The 21,099-nt window shown below is 37.4% G+C and overlaps 1 protein-coding gene, 1 long non-coding RNA gene and 1 other non-coding gene across 5 annotated transcripts in view; 2 read left to right on the top strand and 1 right to left on the bottom strand.

Annotated features, from left to right (window-relative positions):
• DPY19L1 (dpy-19 like C-mannosyltransferase 1) overlaps nucleotides 1-20,741 on the top strand; it is a 109,161-nt gene extending 88,420 nt beyond the window's left edge. For all 3 annotated transcript variants that reach the window (NM_015283.2, XM_011515246.4, NM_001366673.1), the window contains 8 exons: nucleotides 1,921-1,992; nucleotides 3,906-3,955; nucleotides 6,983-7,007; nucleotides 7,738-7,857; nucleotides 9,295-9,469; nucleotides 10,247-10,346; nucleotides 11,503-11,628; nucleotides 17,893-20,741. In NM_015283.2, coding sequence (NP_056098.1) covers nucleotides 1,921-1,992; nucleotides 3,906-3,955; nucleotides 6,983-7,007; nucleotides 7,738-7,857; nucleotides 9,295-9,469; nucleotides 10,247-10,346; nucleotides 11,503-11,628; nucleotides 17,893-18,049 — 825 coding nt within the window. In that variant the 3' untranslated portion in view covers nucleotides 18,050-20,741. The remainder of the gene's footprint in view (nucleotides 1-1,920; nucleotides 1,993-3,905; nucleotides 3,956-6,982; nucleotides 7,008-7,737; nucleotides 7,858-9,294; nucleotides 9,470-10,246; nucleotides 10,347-11,502; nucleotides 11,629-17,892) is intronic.
• LOC102724723 (uncharacterized) lies at nucleotides 1,014-7,396 on the bottom strand. Its single transcript, XR_001745166.2, has 3 exons — nucleotides 7,316-7,396; nucleotides 4,486-4,576; nucleotides 1,014-1,193 (listed from the first exon to the last, which is right to left on the bottom strand). It is a non-coding gene; the product is annotated as an uncharacterized LOC102724723 (long non-coding RNA).
• On the top strand, nucleotides 8,788-8,862 carry MIR548N (microRNA 548n). Its single transcript, NR_031666.1, has one exon. It is a non-coding gene; the product is annotated as a microRNA 548n (primary transcript).
• Nucleotides 20,742-21,099: the final 358 nt, after the last annotated feature.

Genomic DNA, 21,099 nt, shown 5'->3' with positions numbered 1-21,099 from the left:
TATGGCCTTTACTCATTTTGATAATTTAGAAATACACATTCAGACTAGCAGTGGTTTTCTAGGTGAGTAAACACAGAGGCATTTCAAGTTGCCATTTTTCAGTGATAGCATTAATTTAGTCAAGCTCTCAAACTCTTACATTTCCACTCATTTTGTGGTTATTTAAATAGATATTTGCTTTGAAACATCAAGTCCAAGCTTTTCATTCCAACAGCATTTTTCTTTCTAAAACTGTATTCAGAGATTTAGAAGGAAAGCAGAGAGTAGTTTAGTGGATTGTGAGACAGAAGCCTGTAATTTTGCTTGATGTTCTTGAACAAGCAACTCTCATTCGTCGTGTTATAGTTTACTAGTTTCTAGTAGCATGCCATAAACAGATATTGTGAAGACAAAATGAGATAATACAAAGGAAAGTACTTTGATATTTTAAATAAGTAAATATTTAAATAAATAAAATATTAATTTGCAATACTTTATGAGCTGGTTTAGTTCGACAAGCATGTATATATGTGCATTTTTAACACCATCCATGTGGTACTGATTAATTATATTATCTGTGTCACTCCTTCAGAGTGGTATGTGTATGTATATGAAACTGGCCAACAATACTCTATTGACATGTTAGTTTCCCTCATGATCCCACTGTGTTAGCCCAGTGTCCAGAGTTCCAGACCAGTGGATGAGAGGGCACCACACAGGAAACTTTTATCTACCGGCCATTTGGAGTTGAGTGTGTTCTGCAGAGGTACTGTTTACTCCAGTGGCCTGTCAGTCTTCATTTATTGTGTTCCGGCAAATGGTTTTGACACACAGTGGCTGACAAAGGTATATGAGTTTTAGTGTTAAACCTGCTGAAACAAACAAAGGAAGCATATCTTGCAAGACATTGAAATGCATGTTCATAGGGGTTCAAGACTCCTTCAAATATTAGAGAATTAGGATGTGGTGAAGTTGTTTAATGTTATTGAGAACATCATACATACTGCTACAGTCTGAGAGTATTAAACATAAGCTATGTGATGAAAGAAATAATTTATTGAGACATAGCATGACTTCAGCTAATTTGAAGAAAATAGCAAAACTGTTTCCAGCATACCATTCCTCATCACTGTAAGTATCTTAATTCATAGGGACTGTGCTGTAGAGACAGAGTACTGTCAGTTCAGGGAACATATGTTCCAATTATGGTACACCTATACAGTGGAGAAGAGGGGAAAATTTAACATGGTATTTCCTAATATGATATCATACTGACATGGAAAGATGCTTAAGATATATAAGGGAGTAAACAAAATGATATAGTCTTATTAACCCATAATTAACACACATAAAAGTAAAAAAAGTATAAAAGCAAAATTTTAACAGTGGTTTTTTGGGTGGAGAGATAATTGAGAGGTGCACAGGCTCACAATGTGTAGGGCTTTGTTATTAAACTTATTTCTATTTTTTTTCTGCTACTAAAGAAAATGTAAAAGCCTTTTGTTCCCCTCAAACATAGATCATTATTTTGTTTATGCGTGAGAAAGTGTGTGTGTGTGTGTTTCAAGGATAATATTTTTATCCCCCACAAAATATACAGGAAAAGCTTATTCCATTTAAGGAGCTTTACATACCTTAGATGAATATTAAGTTGGTCTCTCTAGTTAGATAAGTAGCATGCAAAAAGTGAGCAGTAATCTCTTCAGTGACATTTCACACTTACAGGTGTTTGGGTACTGTATTTTTAGTGTTTCAACTCAGCATTTTGGGGAAGTTCATTTCTATGGAAATGCACCTTCCTTTTTATGATGGCAGTCAGTGAGTAGATTGGTGAATGTTCATATTTCTCTACTTTCAGAAATTTACCTATTTCATTATTTGAAATGAAATTTTGTTTGGTTAAAATGTTTCCTTCTAACAAAACATCTCTTTGAATTTCAGACTCCACTGAGATACACAAAGACATTATTGCTTCCAGTTGTTCTTGTAGTGTTTGTTGCTATTGTTAGAAAGGTATGTCTATCACTTAAGAGCTCTTTCTTATAATAGAATATTTTCTTGTTTTTACATAGTAGTCGCATATACTTGGCCACATTTATCTGATACAACGTTTTGTATGGGCTTACTGTAACATATTCTATGTTTTCTTAATGATAGCTTTTGATAGACATTTATATAGCTTCAAAATATTCTATCTGCTAGCATAAAACAGACATCAGAAAAGGATGGCTCAAGTTCCGATAGTCATGTATTTTGGAAGGCATGATCAGAGACCATATTGACCCAGATACAACTTGCCTGTGTAAATTATTACTGGCTTTTACCTTTAATGTAATATTTCCCTAAAATATTTAAAATATACCTAAGTGATTTGTGCAGTGTGCAATAACTCCTGGATTGTGTTTATTATTAATCAGAAAGAAAAAACAGAGTATTTGCAATGTGTTGATGAACTAGATAAAATGTTTAGGTCCCCAAGTTGGCTTTGACGATAAAATTCAAAGCCCAGATATAAATAAGATCAAAGCAAGTGTGATATTCCCTCTCTTTTTTTCTTTAAGAATTGTGCACTCTGTAACCAAATGTGTCTTAAGAGAATGAACAGAAGTTAATCTGTGATGGAAAAAGAGACGACAGACCTTAAAAGTTTCCTGATACGTGGCCAGTGATTTCTGTGTTAACACAATGTCATTTATTTGTAGAATATTCTGTATTATAACAATTGTTCATATTATATATTTGTACTCTGCTTTGTATAGAACATTTTCACATGAGTATTTAAATTGGTTATTCAACAGCCCTATGGGGTAGACAAATGTTATCTCCATTTTAACATACAGAACTGAAAGATCAAAGATGTTGTTAGGAGCCTCGCATCATGTCCACTTAAAAGCAAGGGAAGAGTGAGACTCGGGCTCTGCACCTTCCCCTATCGTTGGGCTATGTCTGGTATTCAGCTGTGTACTCCGACAGCACTTTTAATCTCTAATCAGTTAAGAGTCAGTTCCTGCTGTGTGCTAGGCTTTGTGTGTGCTTTGCACTTTTGTATAGTTTATGTGGGTTTGCACCTAGTGGGTACTCAAAAAATACTAAGCATTGGCCATCCAGAACATATGCAAAAGACAGCAACCTGAGTGGTGAGAGATGATGAAAACTATTAGCTAGGCTGTTTCGTTTAAAGAAGAAAAGATGTAGATGGAAAGCGGATAATTACTTTGAAATATGGTAAAAGCCTGTGCCTTGAAAATAAGGTTACACACAATCTGGCTCCTTAGAATCATGGCCAATTCCAGGAGGTATGACTTTTGACCAGAACTGATCTCGACTGATAAGGAAAGTGTTATAGATTCAAGCAGCAGCTGGTGGATTCTAAGGGCTGGATTACAGCCTGTCATCAGTGTTGTAGAGAATATTTGTACTGGAGATACGATTTTAGATTAGATGACCTCCTCATTATTGCTGAATATGAAAGCACAGTGACTGTGTTTTGAATGCTTCCAGCTGTGATTATCAACCTCTGAGCCAGCTCTCCAGTTTTCTGAGTGCACTGTTAAGAAGAGGTGTTGCCAACAACGTTGGCATGGTGGAAGCAGCGCTGAATGTGAATTTGAAGCCAGAAGATCTGGTTTCAAGACTGCAGTGCTTCTTAGTAGTTGTCTACCTACAGGGCAATCATTTAATCCATATGAACCTGTTGCTCATTTACAAAACGAGGATGATATAATCTACCCAACAGGGTTGTTGAATATTAGCTTTGATCAGATACTATACAAATATAAGATTATGTTGTTGTGATTATTATTTTCTGAGTTATCTCTATACTTATATTTTCATTAAAAGTTATTTTACAGTTTAGAAGATACTTTATTTAAAATATCATTTTTCCCAACACAGCTTTTCTAAAGTGTTTCAAAATCTATTTACAGATTATTAGTGATATGTGGGGTGTCTTAGCTAAACAACAGACACATGTAAGGTAAATATGCTATTAAGAATTTTATTACCTCCTCTGTTCATTTATTAAATAGATATTTACAGTGTATTAATTGTATACTTACATGTTGTGTACCTAATATTTGATAATTGATGTTTTTATTGTGGTCATTTCCCTTCCTGGCATTTCTTCTTATTTCCTATCTGTGCAGAACACAGCACATCACTTATTCATCCTTCAGATGTTATCCAGTACAGTCTGACAGTAGCCCTGCACATAATCTACACTCAAAGGACACAGTTTTGTACTTCATTTCAGCAGGGAAAGTAAATTATTACGTGAGTGGTTTTAGGACCAGTGGACTGCCTTTTTGGAAATGAGCAGGGAAATATAAAACTGGATTCATACCTCACTTTTTACAGAAAATAAATTTCAGATGAACCAGAGAATTATGTATAGGAAAAAAAAAACCCAAAATTAACCAAGAGGGTTTGTTTATAACCTGAGAGTTAGAGAGGCCTATAGCATGCTTGGTATTTTCCACCATCACACCCTTTGTCTTACTCTCTTACCATTTGTCACCCTTTGTACTTAAATGTTGATGTGTGACCCGTATCTCCTGAAGGGAGCGATCATTTTTGTTCAACAGTTTATATACAGTGCCTGCAAGATAGTAAAGGATAGTAGTTGAATGAGTATTTACATATGACTAATGAACATGAAAAGGTAGTCTTGATCCTATGGTAAAGCCATTCAGGTTAAAGTGAAGACCTTTTCACTTCTTATATTTCTAAAAATTAATAGTATATCCAATGCTTGCAAGAGTGGGAGGTAGTAGATGGGAGGGAAGTTTGGCAATACACAGTAAAACATATAGTGGGCCTGTCCTTTAGCCCTGCAGGTTCCACCAGTGCAAGTGTACCCTCTAGAGATGCTCACAGAAATACAGAGATGATGGGGAGAGATGCCTTTTGTAGTATTGTGTGTTATGTGAGAAATGGAAACATCCAAAATATCTACTATGATACATAGAGTGGAATGTTAGGCTATCTTTCTGGAAATAGGTCCAGTATACATTATTGAATTTTTAAAATTGCCAGTGTGTGTGTGTATAGGATAATTATACTTCTCTTTAAAATTTAGAGATTTTTATGTGTTTGTGCATAGAAATGATCCGGAAAGATAAATCCTGTAATTATTAAGAGTGGGATTAGAGGATGGAGTGAAGGTAGTTTTAACTCTACTTTTATTCTTTTGTGGGATTTTGGGGGGAGAAGGATTGTCGAATGTGTATGTATCTATATTTTCTTTTTTTTAATTTTTCTTTTTTTTTTTTTTTTTTTGAGACAGAGCCTCACTCTGTCACCCAGGCTGGAGGAGTGCAGTGGCACGATCTCGGCTCACTGCAACCTCCGCCTCCCGGGTTCAGGCGATTCGTCTGCCTCAGCCTCCTGAATAGCTAAGACTACAGGCGACCACCACCACGCCCAGCTAATTTTTGTATTTTTAGTAGAGACGGGGTTTCACCATATTGGCCAGGCTGGTCTTGAACTCATGAACTCGTGATCTGCCTGCCTTAGCCTCCCAAAGTGCTGGGATTATAGGCATGAGCCACTGCGCCTGGCCCTATATTTTATTTTATAATTTGAATATACACACCCTTGTATTATTCCCTCACCTCCAAGTCTCTGCCAACATAATGATAAATTATTGCACATACTCCTGAGAGAATCCTTGTTCTCATTTAGAAACAATTTACTGTAACATATACAGGTATATGTTTATACCTGTAACATTTGAGTTGAGGGCTAAGGGGGAAAGAAAAACGTTCTGGTTTACAATGCCGAAATTTTTCATTTGAGGTGAAATTATTTTTGAAGAGCTCAGGAAGAAGCTACAAAGTTTCAGCTGTAGTATGCAACTCTGGAAGAGGAAGGTGGAACTTCTCACAGAAACAAAGCTGTCCCTTCAAGAGTAATAACTCACCTATAGAAGTAATTATAGGAAACCATTGAGCTTCATGGAGTTGTCAGTTCAAATAGGATCAGAGCTCTTTTTTGGAAGAGGAGTGGCATGTTGACATTTTATTTTGCATAGCTACCAAAGCCAGTGTAAAAAGGAGAAGAGTAGGACATAAATTTTAACTATCAAAGACATGAATGCCAATATTCTCTTTACTCAAAGACCCAGGAAGTAAAGTGGGATAGAGACAGCATGATGTAGTAAAAAGTATATTGGCTCTGAAGTCAGTCAGAATATAGTCCTGGCTGCCACTTACTAGCTCTGTGATTCCTTTCCTTGGCTGTAAATTGGGGTAATAAATGGTTGTAGGATTAGAGTTAATGGAATGTACTAAGCATATTAACATTGTAAGTACTCAACAAATGGTAACTGATAGTTTTTACTTGGTGTGAAAGAAGAATAAAGAACTGTTTCATCTCCTTCACTAGCCCCTTATGTGTCCTGAGTTTGCTAATATATCAGTCTTTTTGAGGCTAGATTCTCAAATTAGATTATATGCTACCTGGATTAACAGTTTATTGATACACTTGTTCATTCATTAAAAATGTTGAGCTCTAAGTGTCAGGTATTACTCTAGGTCTTGGGAACATATCAGTGCTTAAGAAAGAGAAGGTGTGTGTTGTCAACTCACACATTTCTGTCTCTGACCCAGACTTCTCCCTTGAACTCAGATTTACACATATAACCACGTATTTGTTATCTCTACTTGGTTGCCTAGTGAAAATCTCAAAGGTTTTTTTCATTCCATGCTTTGCTGGGGTATCACCAGTGAGGGAGCTGGGACACCACCGTGTGCCTTTGTTGTCCTAATAAATACCCATGTAGTCAAATAGGATATAATACAACATTGTCATTCTTCATAAATTTTCTTAAAATAGTATAGCACCAGTTTTGGCATGTGACTTTTAGTTATTTTGATTTGCCTGTGTGTGTCCTGAGAGAATGTTATAGAAGTTGTAAAACTCCTGTTTGCAAGATGAAAATGCAAATATATGACGTAAGTGCTTCAATAATGAATTGATGGCAATATATTTTTTTCTGTTCCAGAAAACACCAGTTTGATCATGGAGAGGTAAAGACTTAATATGACTATAATTTTACTTATCTTAAAGTTGCATGCATTTGGACTTTCCTTTCTAGTTCCAGTTTCTAACTTTGTTGGCAATTGTCAGCAATCATCTTGAAAATAGCCTGTTATGTGTTTTTATGAGAATGCTATATGCAGATTCACTGACTATTCATTTGTTAAAATTAACTAGGAAACTCATATGTTCTGCTCTGATCATCTTTACACTAATGGCAGTTGATTTCTGGAGCCCATTTAGACATATGTATGAGGTGTCTATTGCATGATTGGAAATCACTTTCCTCTCTGCTCACCTTGCTTGAGGCCTCAGAGATGTGATTGGTTACTGCTCCCATCTCCTAGTTGTCCAGTCTGGTTTTGAGGGCAGTTCCAAGGTGGAGCCCTCAGATCTTGAGGCAGCAGTCATTTCTTTTACCACTGTCTTTTCTTGGTCTGATGGTAGCATCAAGGTTGATTAAAAAATGTGGGCTTTATTAACCACAGGTTTGACTCTGAGAATCACAGAAACACTTGCCTTAATGACTTTATAATTTTAGCCTTCCACTAAAATGGAACAGTTTGAAAGTGAATTTTAAGAATTGTTTTCGAAGTTTCAGAAACCTTAGTAGTATTTTTTGTTACTAAGGAGAACGTACCCCTTTCTGCATATTGCCAGTTTAGTATTCTTAAACTTCACAAACAGTAGGAGTAAAAAACATTTTCTTCTTTCTTTCAGCTGGTTTACCATGCATTGCAATTGTTAGCATATACAGCCCTTGGTATTTTAATTATGAGACTAAAACTCTTCTTGACACCACACATGTGTGTTATGGCATCACTGATCTGCTCAAGACAGGTAACATGTTATGTTGGAGTATAGCTACTATGATAATTTTAGCCTTTATTATTGAGTGGCCCTAAAATAATGAATTACAAAGTCTTTTAAGTGATTATAGTTAAAGCTCTTCATGGTTTTGTACTTATCTTTCTTAAAGGGTAAGGGCCAAAGCTGATCATTTTCTATCTTTCTAAAGATTTAAAATAGTTGTTGGTGTACAACTAATACCGATTTAGTACAGACTGAGTTCATGAGTGATTACTGCAGGTGCTGATAGAAAGCAGAGCTTAATTGTACAAATAATAACTTTTTTTGTTTTGACATTCATATCACAAAGAAATCTAATAATTTCAGGTTATAAGTGCTTGAAAATTATATGTTCTTTTTTTAGTATCAAACTTATTTTTTTTTCAGTTGGTGCAATTTGTGTGCACATTCTTGACTTGTGCTTTTTAAAATTTAGTTTAAGCCTTCCTTGGTGGTTTGCTGCTTATTTTTCCTGGATAGCTGCCTCCTTGTTCTGTATTCACAGATTTATGCTTCTCCATAGTGTCACCTTTCCATCAGTCAACCAGCCTAGGTACAACAGCAGCACCTCCCTTAGACGTAGCAGATAGTCACTAAGCACCTACACTGCGCACTCTAGGGATGGAGGAGAGAGTAGTAGACAGAAAAGTCAAAAGCCAGTGTTTATAAGCCCTCAAGAAACTTGAAATCTAGCTCTGTAGACATGTGGAGAAAGATCAAGAGAACAAAGTGTTGTTATGGAGTGTGGACTATTTGGATGTGGAAAAAATTAGCCAGCCTTGAGGTTCCCAATCAGTATGTTGTATTATGTTAGAAAGGCACTACTTTCTACCTTTCTGACCCCTTCAGGCTGGCACAGGAAAGGAGGCTGGTTGGAAGCCTTTAATCTTGAGTCTTATCCCACAGCATGACTGATGATATAGGTTGGTGCAAAAGTAATTGTGGATTTTGTCGTTAAAAATAGCAAAACCCGCAATTACTTTTGCACCAACCTAATAGAAAGTGTCACCCAGGGCAGGTTTTCCAAGTGTGGGGTTCCTGCTGGTCACACAGGACCTCACATTCAGGACCCTGAACTTGATTGAATGTTTGCTGCTGCTGTTTTGAACGTCTTAATTTTTTAACAAGAGACCCCACATTTTTGTTTTGTACTGGGCCTTGTAAATTGGTTGTGGCTTTACTTGAATCTGGGAGTAGTGAAAGCAGGTTGAGAAAAGAGCTTCCTACATTGTGTTCCACTTATATGAGGCTGATGGTAGAATCCTTTTGATCCCAAAGATTATTATTTTGGGGCTTTTTCTTTAGGATAATTAATCCTTTATTTGGGACTCTAGCAGAGGCCTTATTCTTCTCTGGGAAGAAGTTTTGCATAACAGATGCATACTACTTATACTAACAATTACCAATGTATTCTTAATTTGGTTTCAGCTATTTGGATGGCTCTTTTGCAAAGTACATCCTGGTGCTATTGTGTTTGCTATATTAGCAGCAATGTCAATACAAGGTTCAGCAAATCTGCAAACCCAGTGGAATATTGTAGGGGAGTTCAGCAATTTGCCCCAAGAAGAACTTATAGAATGGATCAAATATAGTACTAAACCAGGTAAAAAAAAAAAAAAGAAAAAAAAAGTCATATTATTTAGCTGTTTTTCCCACAATTTTATATACCACTGCAAACTCTTAAACCCTAGTTACTTCCACTGATCTCACTCTTTCTATGCAATGTTGCTTTTAGAATATCTAAAACAAAGGAGATATCAATCCTGTTTAAATGGTTTGCAGGGGAAATGTTATACATATGTTCTTAGTAATTTATTCTGCCATTTTTTATAGATTTTAATTTTTTCAAAATTTATTCACAGTCATAAATGCCACATTTAAAATAATTTTTCCTGTGCTTATTTTCTTAATGAATTTTTAATATTAGTCCTTCACATTCCTTCTTGAAATAAACTCATGGAATGTGACATTTTATTCATGTGTGGAAAGGGAGACTTTGTTGTCATCTGAGTATCAAATGATTGAATACTAAATCATCTTCCAGAACTCCTTGTTACTGTAAAGCTTTCCTAGTCCATTTGATACTTCTTTTTTAGATTCAGGAAAGATTTCTAAGATTTTTTCTTTAAAGAAAGAAAGAAATCTTTAATGATGAGATGATGAAGCTCTGTTTTCCAAGGAAAATAGTTTACCCAGGCCTGGCTGCCAACTGCTACTTTATCAGCCATCTGACTTCATGCTAGTTCTGCCATTGAATCTTGAAGTCATGAACCTGCTGGGCTTCCGCTCTGTTACCTGTGAAATAATTGATTTACACTTGAAGGAGACACCTTCTCGCCTTCACTGAGTGTCTTCCTGAGACATTCCTCTTGCCTTCCAGATGCAGTGTTTGCGGGTGCCATGCCCACGATGGCAAGTGTTAAGCTCTCTGCACTTCGGCCCATTGTGAATCATCCACATTATGAAGACGCAGGCTTGAGGTCAGTGCACAGTCTTGCATCATCAAAACAAACCTCCCATGCAAACAGACAGTGAGTGGAGGACACCAGCAAAGTAATAAGGAATGTTTCAAAAGGATATGATGAACTGAGGCTTATCGAGTCAGGGAGCAGAAAGCTGAAATAAGACCGCTAAGCTCTAAACAAATCCGTTAAAGCTTCACAGGGCAGGAAAGTGACAACTTTGGGGGCTCTCTTCTCTACCAGGCATATAAACGAAGTCATACTATAGCACTTTCCCACAGGTTAACAGGGCTCTAAAATGTCCAAGTCCTTTTCATCCTGTAACTCCCTGGGGAGTTTAGCTTAGAGTGTTTATTAAGGTTTTCTCATAGGTGATTTTTCTTGAGTTTGGAGAAGTCATTTGAAATAGAATCCCATTCAAAGAGGAGTTTATTCTGGTTTTCACCAGTATAGCCTGTTAGAATGATCTTGGGTGTTTTATGTTTTTTTAGATTTTTTTGAGACTTTAAAAAATAATTTAGAGATGTGTTGTCCAAATTTTTTTTTAAAAATTTAATTTTTCTTGCAGTTTCTAAGGCAGGTGAAGCTATTCATTTTCTAAGTGATTAGGTGAATCTTATTAGCATCTTCTTTTTCATAACAATGGCATGTACATTCACAAATAAGCTTTTTCATTAAAAAATCAATCTCATCAAGCTAATTTCCAGACCAATTTTGTTAAATAAGTTTAGTTTTTCTTAAATCTAGAAATAAAATGAAGAACCATTTAATGTGAATTATTGTTGATGTCTAAGTTGGGACTGTTGCAGCTTCACAGTAGTCCTATAGTTGTGTTTGTTGTAGTTCATCCCTGTTCACACACAGGGTACCTTACTCTTACATGTGATAGCGAAGTGAAGAATTTAAGACAAATAAATAAGTGAACAAACACAAAGAGACCAAGTTTGGGAATGTAGGGGTGTGTTAAAGGTCACCCTCTTCTCCACAACTTGTCCTCCTCCTGCCTTCTGCTTTTGACCTCACTGATGCCCCTTAGCGGGAACTTCCATGGGGAATTTCCTCCTGACTGGATTCTTCTTCATCGTCTTCTAGTCTAATTCAGTGCTTTCTTCCAAATGTGTTATTGTATCGTTTTAGTCTTGAAAATTTTATGCCCAATTATTTTTCTTTAAAGAGCCAGAACAAAAATAGTATACTCAATGTATAGTCGGAAAGCAGCCGAAGAAGTGAAGCGAGAACTGATAAAGTTAAAAGTGAACTATTACATTCTAGAAGAGTCATGGTGTGTAAGAAGATCCAAGTGAGTATCAACACAGTTAACATTTTATAATCATAAGACATGAAGGTTAATTCAAGCACATGGCACATGCTTTGCTGGTGGCGGGGGTGTGTATATAACATAAAGTATACATGGAAAAACTTCTTCTTTTTTTTTTAAACAGGCTCTCACTCTGTTGCCCAGGCTGGAGTGCACTGGCATGATCTGGGCTCACTGCAAGCTCCACTTAATTTTTGTATTTTTAGTGGAGATGGGGTTTTGCTGTGTTGACCAGGCTGGTCTCAAACTCCTGGCCTCAAGTGCTACTCCTGCCTTGGCCTCCCAAAGTGCTGGGAGTACAGGCGTGAGTCACCACGCCTGGCCTGAAAAAACTTTTTAGATAATGATTTGGAGACTTTCTTTTATAGTCTTTATAAATATCTTTTTTTTTTAAATAATGATTTGTATGTGTATACTACCTTAAAGAGATTTTATTGGCACTAGTTGATAATCTCCCAAATTGTTCATATTTGCCTTTGATGTTTTAAAAGAAACTTTTATTTAAAGTTGGATGTATTTTCTTTCAAAAGACTTCCAGGGTCTGAAACCAAGTAATGGGGAGTCTCTTTTGGTGAAGTCAGGCAGCTGAGCACCAGGGGTCACATTATCCTTACTGGGTCTCTGTGCTACACCATGTCCTGTCGATGGATGGGATACCCTGTCAGCAAAAACTCAGAATGAAATTTTTCTTTCCTGGTGTTTCACATCTTACTTGAATGGGAAAATGACTCTACTGTGACCCACTTTCTCTTGGGTTTATAGTTTTTAAGTTTCTATTTCCACAGAGATGTTTACTAAGCTGAGTATAGCTCCAAGTGACAGTAAGATCTTCAAAGCAGATGTGAATCTAAAGCTATCTAGAAATGTGGCACGTAAGTGACTGGACACCAGGTGACAGTAGCCTGCTTTTAAAGTACCAAAACATTCACTTCATGAAGAGCACAGTACAGGAACAATTTTATCAGAAATAAACACTATTTTATGGAATAATAATATTTTTTAAATTCTTACTATTCTGTAACTAAACAAAAGCGTTCAAGAGATTGCTATATTTGTGGCTTGATCACACTTTCCCACCATATATTTCAATGACACATATGGTATTAAGACAACATTGTTAAATACTGAGTCGTGAGTGAAAAATAGTTCTGTGACATAGTATCTACAGCTTTGCTCACAAGGAAACTAAAATAATTGTTGATTATAGAATGATTCTCCTATGAACGTGTGCTACGTGGTTTGAATTCAGTCAGGATTTATAGAAAATGTTATTTTGTAATAATTCAGAAAATGTTTTAAGCGTTTGTGAATATGTATATGAAATTCACATACTCACCTTTAACATTGTTATATAAATTTAGGACAGAAAAGTTCTAAGCATCTCATGACGATCTTAGGAAATTATATGAAATGAATGATAGGCTGACATTTGCAATAGGAAGAACTCAGTTCTTAGCATAGCTTTCTACCAGAATGGGGATCTTCTTTATTTCTTTGGGCTTCACTCTCTTGAAACAACTGTAAGTTACTGGAACATAAAAATAATTTTCGTAACCTTTTTTCTCCAAGCTAACAATGAGCCTTTGAGAGTTCATATTCTGCCTAGACCCCTGCATAGAGTTTGAATATGTGAAAGTTGCAGAGGCTTTGTGCTGTAGAGTGTTGGGAGAGCTCCCTGGATTTGCATAGCTCTAACAGTCTCATGTTTGGGTAGGCAGAGCACTGTTTTACCCACACAAGAAGGGATATGAAGGCAAATTCAGGATGTATGGCAATAAACTTTGCACACTAAACAAAATCAGCAGACATTGAACTGACTTCAAGTCACTTACGAGCAATCAGACTGAGAGTTGGGGTGCAGAAGAGGGTGTGCTGGATTTCCCCATCTGGACCTTGACTTGCCATTTATTGTGTCTGTCACAGCAGGAGTTGAGTGGGAGGAAGCTACGAAAGTGACTCTCTCATCTGTTTTCCCCACTCATTAAAACAACACTCTCCATCTAGTACAAGATCTAAGCCAGGCTGATGACACACTGTCAGGAAACCTTGGACAGGTCCACTCTGCTTCAACCTTGACACAAAACAAAAGCTGTGCTTTCTGTCCTGACAGGGAAGCAAATGGGGAGTTCAGATAGGAGAGGAAAGTGAAGAATGACTAATATTTATCTAGTGTTTACATTTAGAGTAGGAAGTTTCTTGACAAAGCTTTCTGCCTGGTTTGGGACCTTCCTTATTTCCTTGGCCTTCACTCTCCATTTCAGTTATGATCAGCCTGAAACCCCTGTAGATTGCTGGGACGTGAAAGTATGTTGGAATGGGGGAAGCAGATGGGGAACTCAGTTAGGAGAGGAAGGGGAAGAGGGACCAATATTTATCTAGTGCTTAATCTGTGCCTGGCAATTGGTGAGCACTATGTTTAAATGATCTCATTTACAAGTGGCTTAATTGTATGGCTTGATTATTCCTTAAATATTTGACACTGTGTTTAAATATAAACACTCAAATATATTTGCATGCAAGTTGTAGATTAGTTTTAAATTAACTACAGTTCTCTGCTTTCTTTTACTCCAATAATAGAGTTGACATAGAATACATGTATTTAGAAGGAAATTATTCAGATTTTCACTAATGCTATTTGCAGATGGCTGGCCTGGGGAAACCTTGGGAAACTCAGATGAGGACTAAATAGTGTTGCACAAGGCAAACAGAGCTCCCCAAGACAGCTGTTTGCCCTCTCTTTTTCCTAAAAGCTGTTGAACTCAGGAAAACTGTGGGTCGTTCTCTACTTTCTGTGTGTCTCACTCTCTGCCACCGTGGGCCCTCAGTGTTGTAACAGTTCAGCCTTGACGTGTATGAGAAAATTACAAGGTAGAAAACCCATGCCCAGCCATATGATCATAGGTGTTCCATGTGAGTAGAAACCAGTGTCAGCAAAGGTGTGCAAAAAGTGTGCACTTGAGCCCTCTTCATGGGAACACTCACTGGCAAAACATTTCTAGGGGATAGTTTGATGAAGGGAAGGTAAGAAAAAAATTGTGCAGTCCTTTGGCAGAGTGATAATGTTGCCTCTAGAGCAGGGGTCTCCAAGCCCCCGGCCATGGACCAGTACTGGTCTGTGGCCTGTTAGGAACCCAGTCTCACAGCAGGAGGTGAGCGGAGGGTGAACAAGCATTACAGCCTGAGCTCTGGCTCCTGTCAGATGAGTGGCAGCATTAGATTCTCATAGGAGTATGAACCCTATTGTGAACTGCACATGCGGGGGATCTAGGGTACGTGCTCCTTATGAGAATCTAATGCCTGATGATCTGAGGTGAAACAATTTCATCCCAAAACCATCGCCCCCACCCTCCAGCCCATGGAAAAATTGTCTTGCAGGAAACCAGTCCCTGGTGCCAAAAAGACCGGGGACCGCTGCTCTAGAGGTTTAGTTTGCAGAAGGGAGCTCTGCACAAGACTGTTTGTAGCTGCATTGCTTTATAATGGCAAAATGGGAAACAATTAAAGTATCTGTCTGTAAAGAATTGGTTAAATAGTACATATGAGAACTAGCAGCTTTTAAAAACAGTAGAATAGATCTTTATGCACTGAGATGGAAAAATGGTTCCACGTTTTATTGTTCAGTATACAGTCCCAGAATAATTCCATTTTTGTAAAAACAACTCAAGAGCATCTGCCAGGGTTTTCCAGAGGGACAGAACTAATAGGATAGATGTGGCCGGGCGCGGTGGGTCACGCCTGTAATCCCAGCACTTTGGGAGGCTGAGATGGGCAGATCATGAGGTCAGGAGATCGAGACCATCTTGGCTAACACGGTGAAACCTTATGTCTACTAAAAATACAAAAACTTAGCTGGGCGTGGTGGTGGGCACCTGTAATCCCAGCTACTCAGGAGGCAGAGGCAGGAGAATGACGTGAACCTGGGAGGTGGAGCTTGCAGTGAGCCGAGATCACACCACTGCACTCCAGCCTGGGCGACAGAGGGAAACGCCATCTCAAAAATAAAAAAAGGATAGATGTATATATGAAATGGAGTTTATTAAGGAGTACTGACTCACACGATCACAAGGTGAGGCCCCACAATAGGCCATCTGCAAGCTGAGGAACAAAGAAGCCAGTCTGAGTCCCAAAACTTCAAAAGTAGGGAAGCTGACAGTGCAGCCTTCAATCTGTGGCTGAAGGCCCAAGGTCCCCTGGCAAACCACTGGTGTAGACCCAAGAGTCCAAAAACTGAAGAACTTGGAGTCTGATGTTCAAGGGCAGGAAACATCCAGCACAGGAGAAAGATGGAGGCCAGAAGACTCAGCCAGTCTAGTCCTTCCACAATTCTTTTGCCTGCTTTTATTCTAGCCATGCTGGCAGCTGATTAGATGGTACCCACACAGATTGAGGGTGGGTCAACCTCTCCCAGTCCACTGACTCAAACATTAATCTCCCTTGGCAACACCCTCACAGACACACCCAGAAACAATACTTTGATCCTTCAATCCAATCAAGTTGACACTCAATACTGACCATCACAGCATCTATGTATATAATGATATCTGTGTCTGTATGTGTGTCTGACATTGGAGAAAGATACAGCAGATAGCAAATATTGTATGTTCTCACTTATAAGTGGGAACTAAGCTACCAGGATGCGAAGCATAATAATGGTACGGACTGTGGACTCGGGAAGCGAGGAGTGGGGTGAGGGATAAAAGACTACACATTGGGTACACTTTACACTGCTCTGGTGGTGGGTGCACCAAAATCTCAGTAACTGCCACTGAATAACTTATCCGTGTAACCAAAAACCACTTGTTTCCCAAAAGCTATTGAAATAATTTTTTTTTTTTTAAAAAGGTCCAGCAGGATATATGCTGGATTGTTTATAGAAGTCACCTCTGAGAAATGCTATTGGAGATGATGGTGACTTTCATTTCTTAAAATGTATGTAGGTCTATATTTTGATACTTTTATAATGACTGATTATTATAAATTAAAGGTGTTATTTAAAAAGGGAAAATGATGTACATACCTGCTACGGTGTTTGCCTCATGGTGGAGAGTGAGGGAGGGACTGCTACTAAACATAAGAGGGACTTGGGAATTTTTTTCTCTTATTTAAAAATAAAAAGGGATGCAATTATGACAAACATGAGCAGTTGTCAATTCTCTATAATTTTCCCATGTTTTTCTGTTTTTTAAAATTCCTCAAAAGGTAGATAGCAGCATCCAACAGTTATATCCATAAAACTGTTCTTGATTTAAGATAAATGGTACTGTTATTTTGAAGGACTTATTTAGGCAAATGTCATATGCCAATTTATAAAGATATGTTGCTTTTGAGATTTAATTATGTGTTTAAGATGTATGCTCAACACTACCAGAATTTCTTTAAATTGATTCATTCTAGAATATCGACTGTCCAATTTAAGATGTTTTGACCTACTGATTTTTTTACTTTATGACAGTGTTAAAGCCATATGCATTCAGTAGAAAGCATATTTCAAATACCCATACAACCATTCTGTTTTTCAGTGTCAGTACAGCATTCAATAAATTACATGAGATATTCAATGTTTTGTTGTAAAATAGCATTTGTATTTGATGATTTTGTCCAACTGTAAGCTAATATAAGTGTTCCTAGCATGTTTAAGGTAGGCTAGGCTAAGCCGTGATGTTGGGTAGATTAGGTGTATTAAATGCATTTTCAACTTATGATGGGTTTATTGGAACATACCCCATTGTAAGTTGAGGAGCATCTATACAATTAATGCAGCTTCCCTGTGAACTAAGCATATTTGTTCATTATAATTTTTTAAATCAATGTCATACGTTTTTCTGTGTGAATGGTGCTAGATACCTGGTCTCTCATAATCCTCACAACAAACCTATGTCATGGTTGTTTATTTCCCCATTTTACAAATGTGAAAACTAAGACCAAGGGAAGCTACCTGCCCAGAACCACATTCTTGATAAGTAGCTGAGGCAGAGTTTAACTGAGGTGTCTCTTTCCGCAACACCTGGATATATGTATCTACAGGTCTGTTTCTTTCCTTATAGTCACCTTTGCTGCATTGACCTTGTCCTAAGGTGAGTCATGGCAGCTTATAAAAACATAAATAGCTATGTAACAGGATTGTTTAAAAACTAAAGTAATTTAAGGGGAAAAAAGGAATTGAGGTCAGGAATGTAAGAAGTGCTCTGCTTTCTCTGCAGTTATATAATGCATATTGATTTTTAACATGTACATTCATTTTTCTAGGCCTGGTTGCAGTATGCCTGAAATTTGGGATGTAGAAGATCCTGCCAATGCTGGGAAAACTCCCTTATGTAACCTCTTGGTGAAGGATTCCAAACCTCACTTCACCACTGTATTCCAGAACAGTGTTTACAAAGTCCTAGAAGTTGTAAAAGAATGACTGCTACATGACCTGCTGCCTACGGAGAACTACATCTGTAATGGTTTTAATGTTTTGCTAAGTCATGTGTTGTTCATATCCCAAAAACTTTTATAGGTAACTGTTTTCAAATAGAAAACGTTTTATTTGGTCAATTTGAATGTCATTCTAATTATAAAAATGACTTACACCTTTATCAATTGGTTACTATTTCAATGCACCCTTTAAAATTTGCTATGCAAATGAGTATATGCTTGTACTTGACTTTAATATTTGTGCTAAAGTGAGCAAAGCTACCTGTATAAAGAAAACACAGTGGGTTGTGACAAGGATGACATGAAAATACAGGACAATTCTGACAATGTAGGGGCTGATTTTATAGTGTAAGAACTATTAATGCCCCTTGCTTCTTTTTTCTGCCTCTTGCTCTTGTCTTTTGGACATTTCAGTGATTGTAAGTTCTTCGGTCATGTCAGCCCCTGTCATCAACTTGAGTTACAGTAGATGGGGCAGACATGGAGTGTTTGCTATATAGAACTATCTGTTTGTTTTACTTCCTTGTGCGCTTTTTGTTCTCTGTTCTCTTGTTAATGAAGCTTTTCCTGCCCATTATTAATCCAAACTCTTGGACCTTGTGGTTAGGAAATTCCCTTAACTTCCAGCCATATGGCATTATCGTGTCTCTTTCTCTCTCTCTCTTGCTCTCTCTCTTCTCCTCTTCCCCATATTTTCTGTCAAATAAGTACTGTTTACTCATTTAGTTGCTTATCAAGTACTTATTCTTGGTTTTAAAAAAAATTAATGGTAACTGTATTTTTCTCATTTTTAGCATTATTCAAATGTTTATATTTTAATACCTTTAAACCACTTTAAAGTTTTTTCATGTTTAATTATAGTTTTAAGAAAAACTATTTTGAACAACCCCAAATATAGTGCATCTAGAAACTAATGTATATTTGATTAGACATCATTTATAGTGGAACAGTAGACTGTAGTACATGGTAATTTTTCTTTTACTATTAAGATACAATAAAACATGACTAATTTTGCTGTCAAAAATGTAAAGAATAATGATAAATGGAGTTTTTATATTTTACTTTTAAGATTGCCTGTCTTTAATAAGACAAAGCCTTAAGCCTTATGTTATAATTTTGGTTCTAAAAACCATCATTTCAGTATAAGGAATAAGTATATTTCGTCCTCCTCTTTAGTTTTTTTCTTCCTATTTATTTTTATTTTGAAAAATTTCTACACCTTCTTTGAATTCCTTGTATGAATTTTTGTTTCTTAGAAGTTAATTTGTGTGAAATGAGATTCTTCAAAACGATGAAACCTCATAGCTCTGAGAAAAGGTTTTAGGGTTTTAAATTCTAAGCAAAGCGTGACTATGGCTGACAGACTACACATTTAATTATACAGCTTCTCTTTCTTAACCACAGGCAGATTAACCTCATTGTGGATTGTCCTTCAGACCTTAGTCCTCAGGCATGGTTTCTGGTGCCCACTCCTGGAAGCCGCTGTTCCCTTTCTACCTTCTTACCAGAGCCCAAGGGCAGGCCTGGTCCCGGGGAAGCAGCAGCTTGCTGACATAAGTCAGCTGCAAAGGCTGAGGAGTGTGCCCTCAGAGAAGCACCGCCCCCCAGTCTTGTGCCAGCGCCTAGAGCCGCAGCTCCCAGGGATGCTCCTTCCCTGGAGGCAGCCCAGGAGAGGGACTCTGGCAGCGTTCTTCAGATTTGTGGCCACTGTTTCTCATTTGCTGGTTGACTGTTTTTATTTCTTAGGCTTTTGCTAGTTTTAGAAAATAGGGAAGCAGCCCTTGATTTGTGGATTAAAAGCAACATTTGAGCGATGATGCACAACAGTCCAGGAAAATGGGCGGTGGACACTTGAGGCTGAGGATGGGAGTTGACATGAGCAGGGAGAGGGAGGTGCGCGCTGCTTATCTGTGATTGTTGCTCACCTGAGTGTGGCTGATTGTGTACATCCAGCAGTTACAATTTTTAAAAATTATACTTTTACATTTATTTTATATTTTTCTCACCCCCAGTAATTTCCTTCCAAAGAAGTTCACATGTAATAAGTAGAAATTCTGTATAGGAAAAAAGCATTAAAAATACTATTATAACTGCTTCATTTGCTGGGAACCATTAAAAGTAATATAAATTAGCTTTTTCCAGAAGGATCCTTTTGTAGCAGTGTTTATGAATGTAACCCCCAGCAAAATATGGCTATATATTAGGGGAGCCAGTTTGGAGCAGAGGCCTGAAGGTCCCTGCTATGCAGCCGTGGCCACAGCTCGCAGCCCAAGCACTGTGGAGCATCCACACCTTTGATGGCAATGCAGATTGGTAGCAGGTTCCATAGGCGTACAAAACAGTATTAAAGCTCAGTGTTTTGCATATTGTTAGCATTTACAAATATTTTTGCTTTAGTATGAGGAAAGTAAGGATGGGCAAAGAAGCGATCAAAATAGCTATTGCTACAACATTTTCGAAAACAAAGTTGGGGCTGTATTTCTTTAAAAAGATAAGCCTCTAAAAATGCTTGGCAAAAAAAATATAGTGTTAAAATAGGCCAGTGATATTAATGAGAAAATGAAAGTATGTATCAGGAATAAAGTGATATTGCATAGGAGTATTGTATTTTTATGAATTTTATGCCAGTTGTTTACATGTACTATATATGTTAAATTAAAAAAAATCATGAGTAATGAGGGAAGTGTTTTTCTTGATTGTTATTTTCATTTTCACCTTGATTGTGATCAAGTTCAGCCTCGTTTTGTAGTCAGATAGCCATGAACTGGTTTGAGTCAGATGGCAGTCCTGAGAAGAGAGGGAGGGATCATAAACAGTGGGGGTAGACTCTTTGGTCTTGTTGTTGGTAGTGGTAGGTACTGAGGTTATCCAAACTTTTCCTGTATTTGTGGTAGAGTCACTTACATTCCTTTTTTATCCTTTTCATCAAGGGACACAGTAATTCATTCAAACTATATATTGGGAATAATTAAAGGGTTGCTAAAAGCTGTTTTAATGTATTTAAAACATACATTGGTATCAACATTTTCTAAATTG

This window comes from Homo sapiens, chromosome 7 (assembly GCF_000001405.40).
Source record: "Homo sapiens chromosome 7, GRCh38.p14 Primary Assembly".
NCBI lineage: Eukaryota > Metazoa > Chordata > Mammalia > Primates > Hominidae > Homo > Homo sapiens.
The sequence above is the reverse complement of the archived record's forward strand: the minus strand, read 5'-3'. Positions and strand labels throughout refer to the sequence as shown.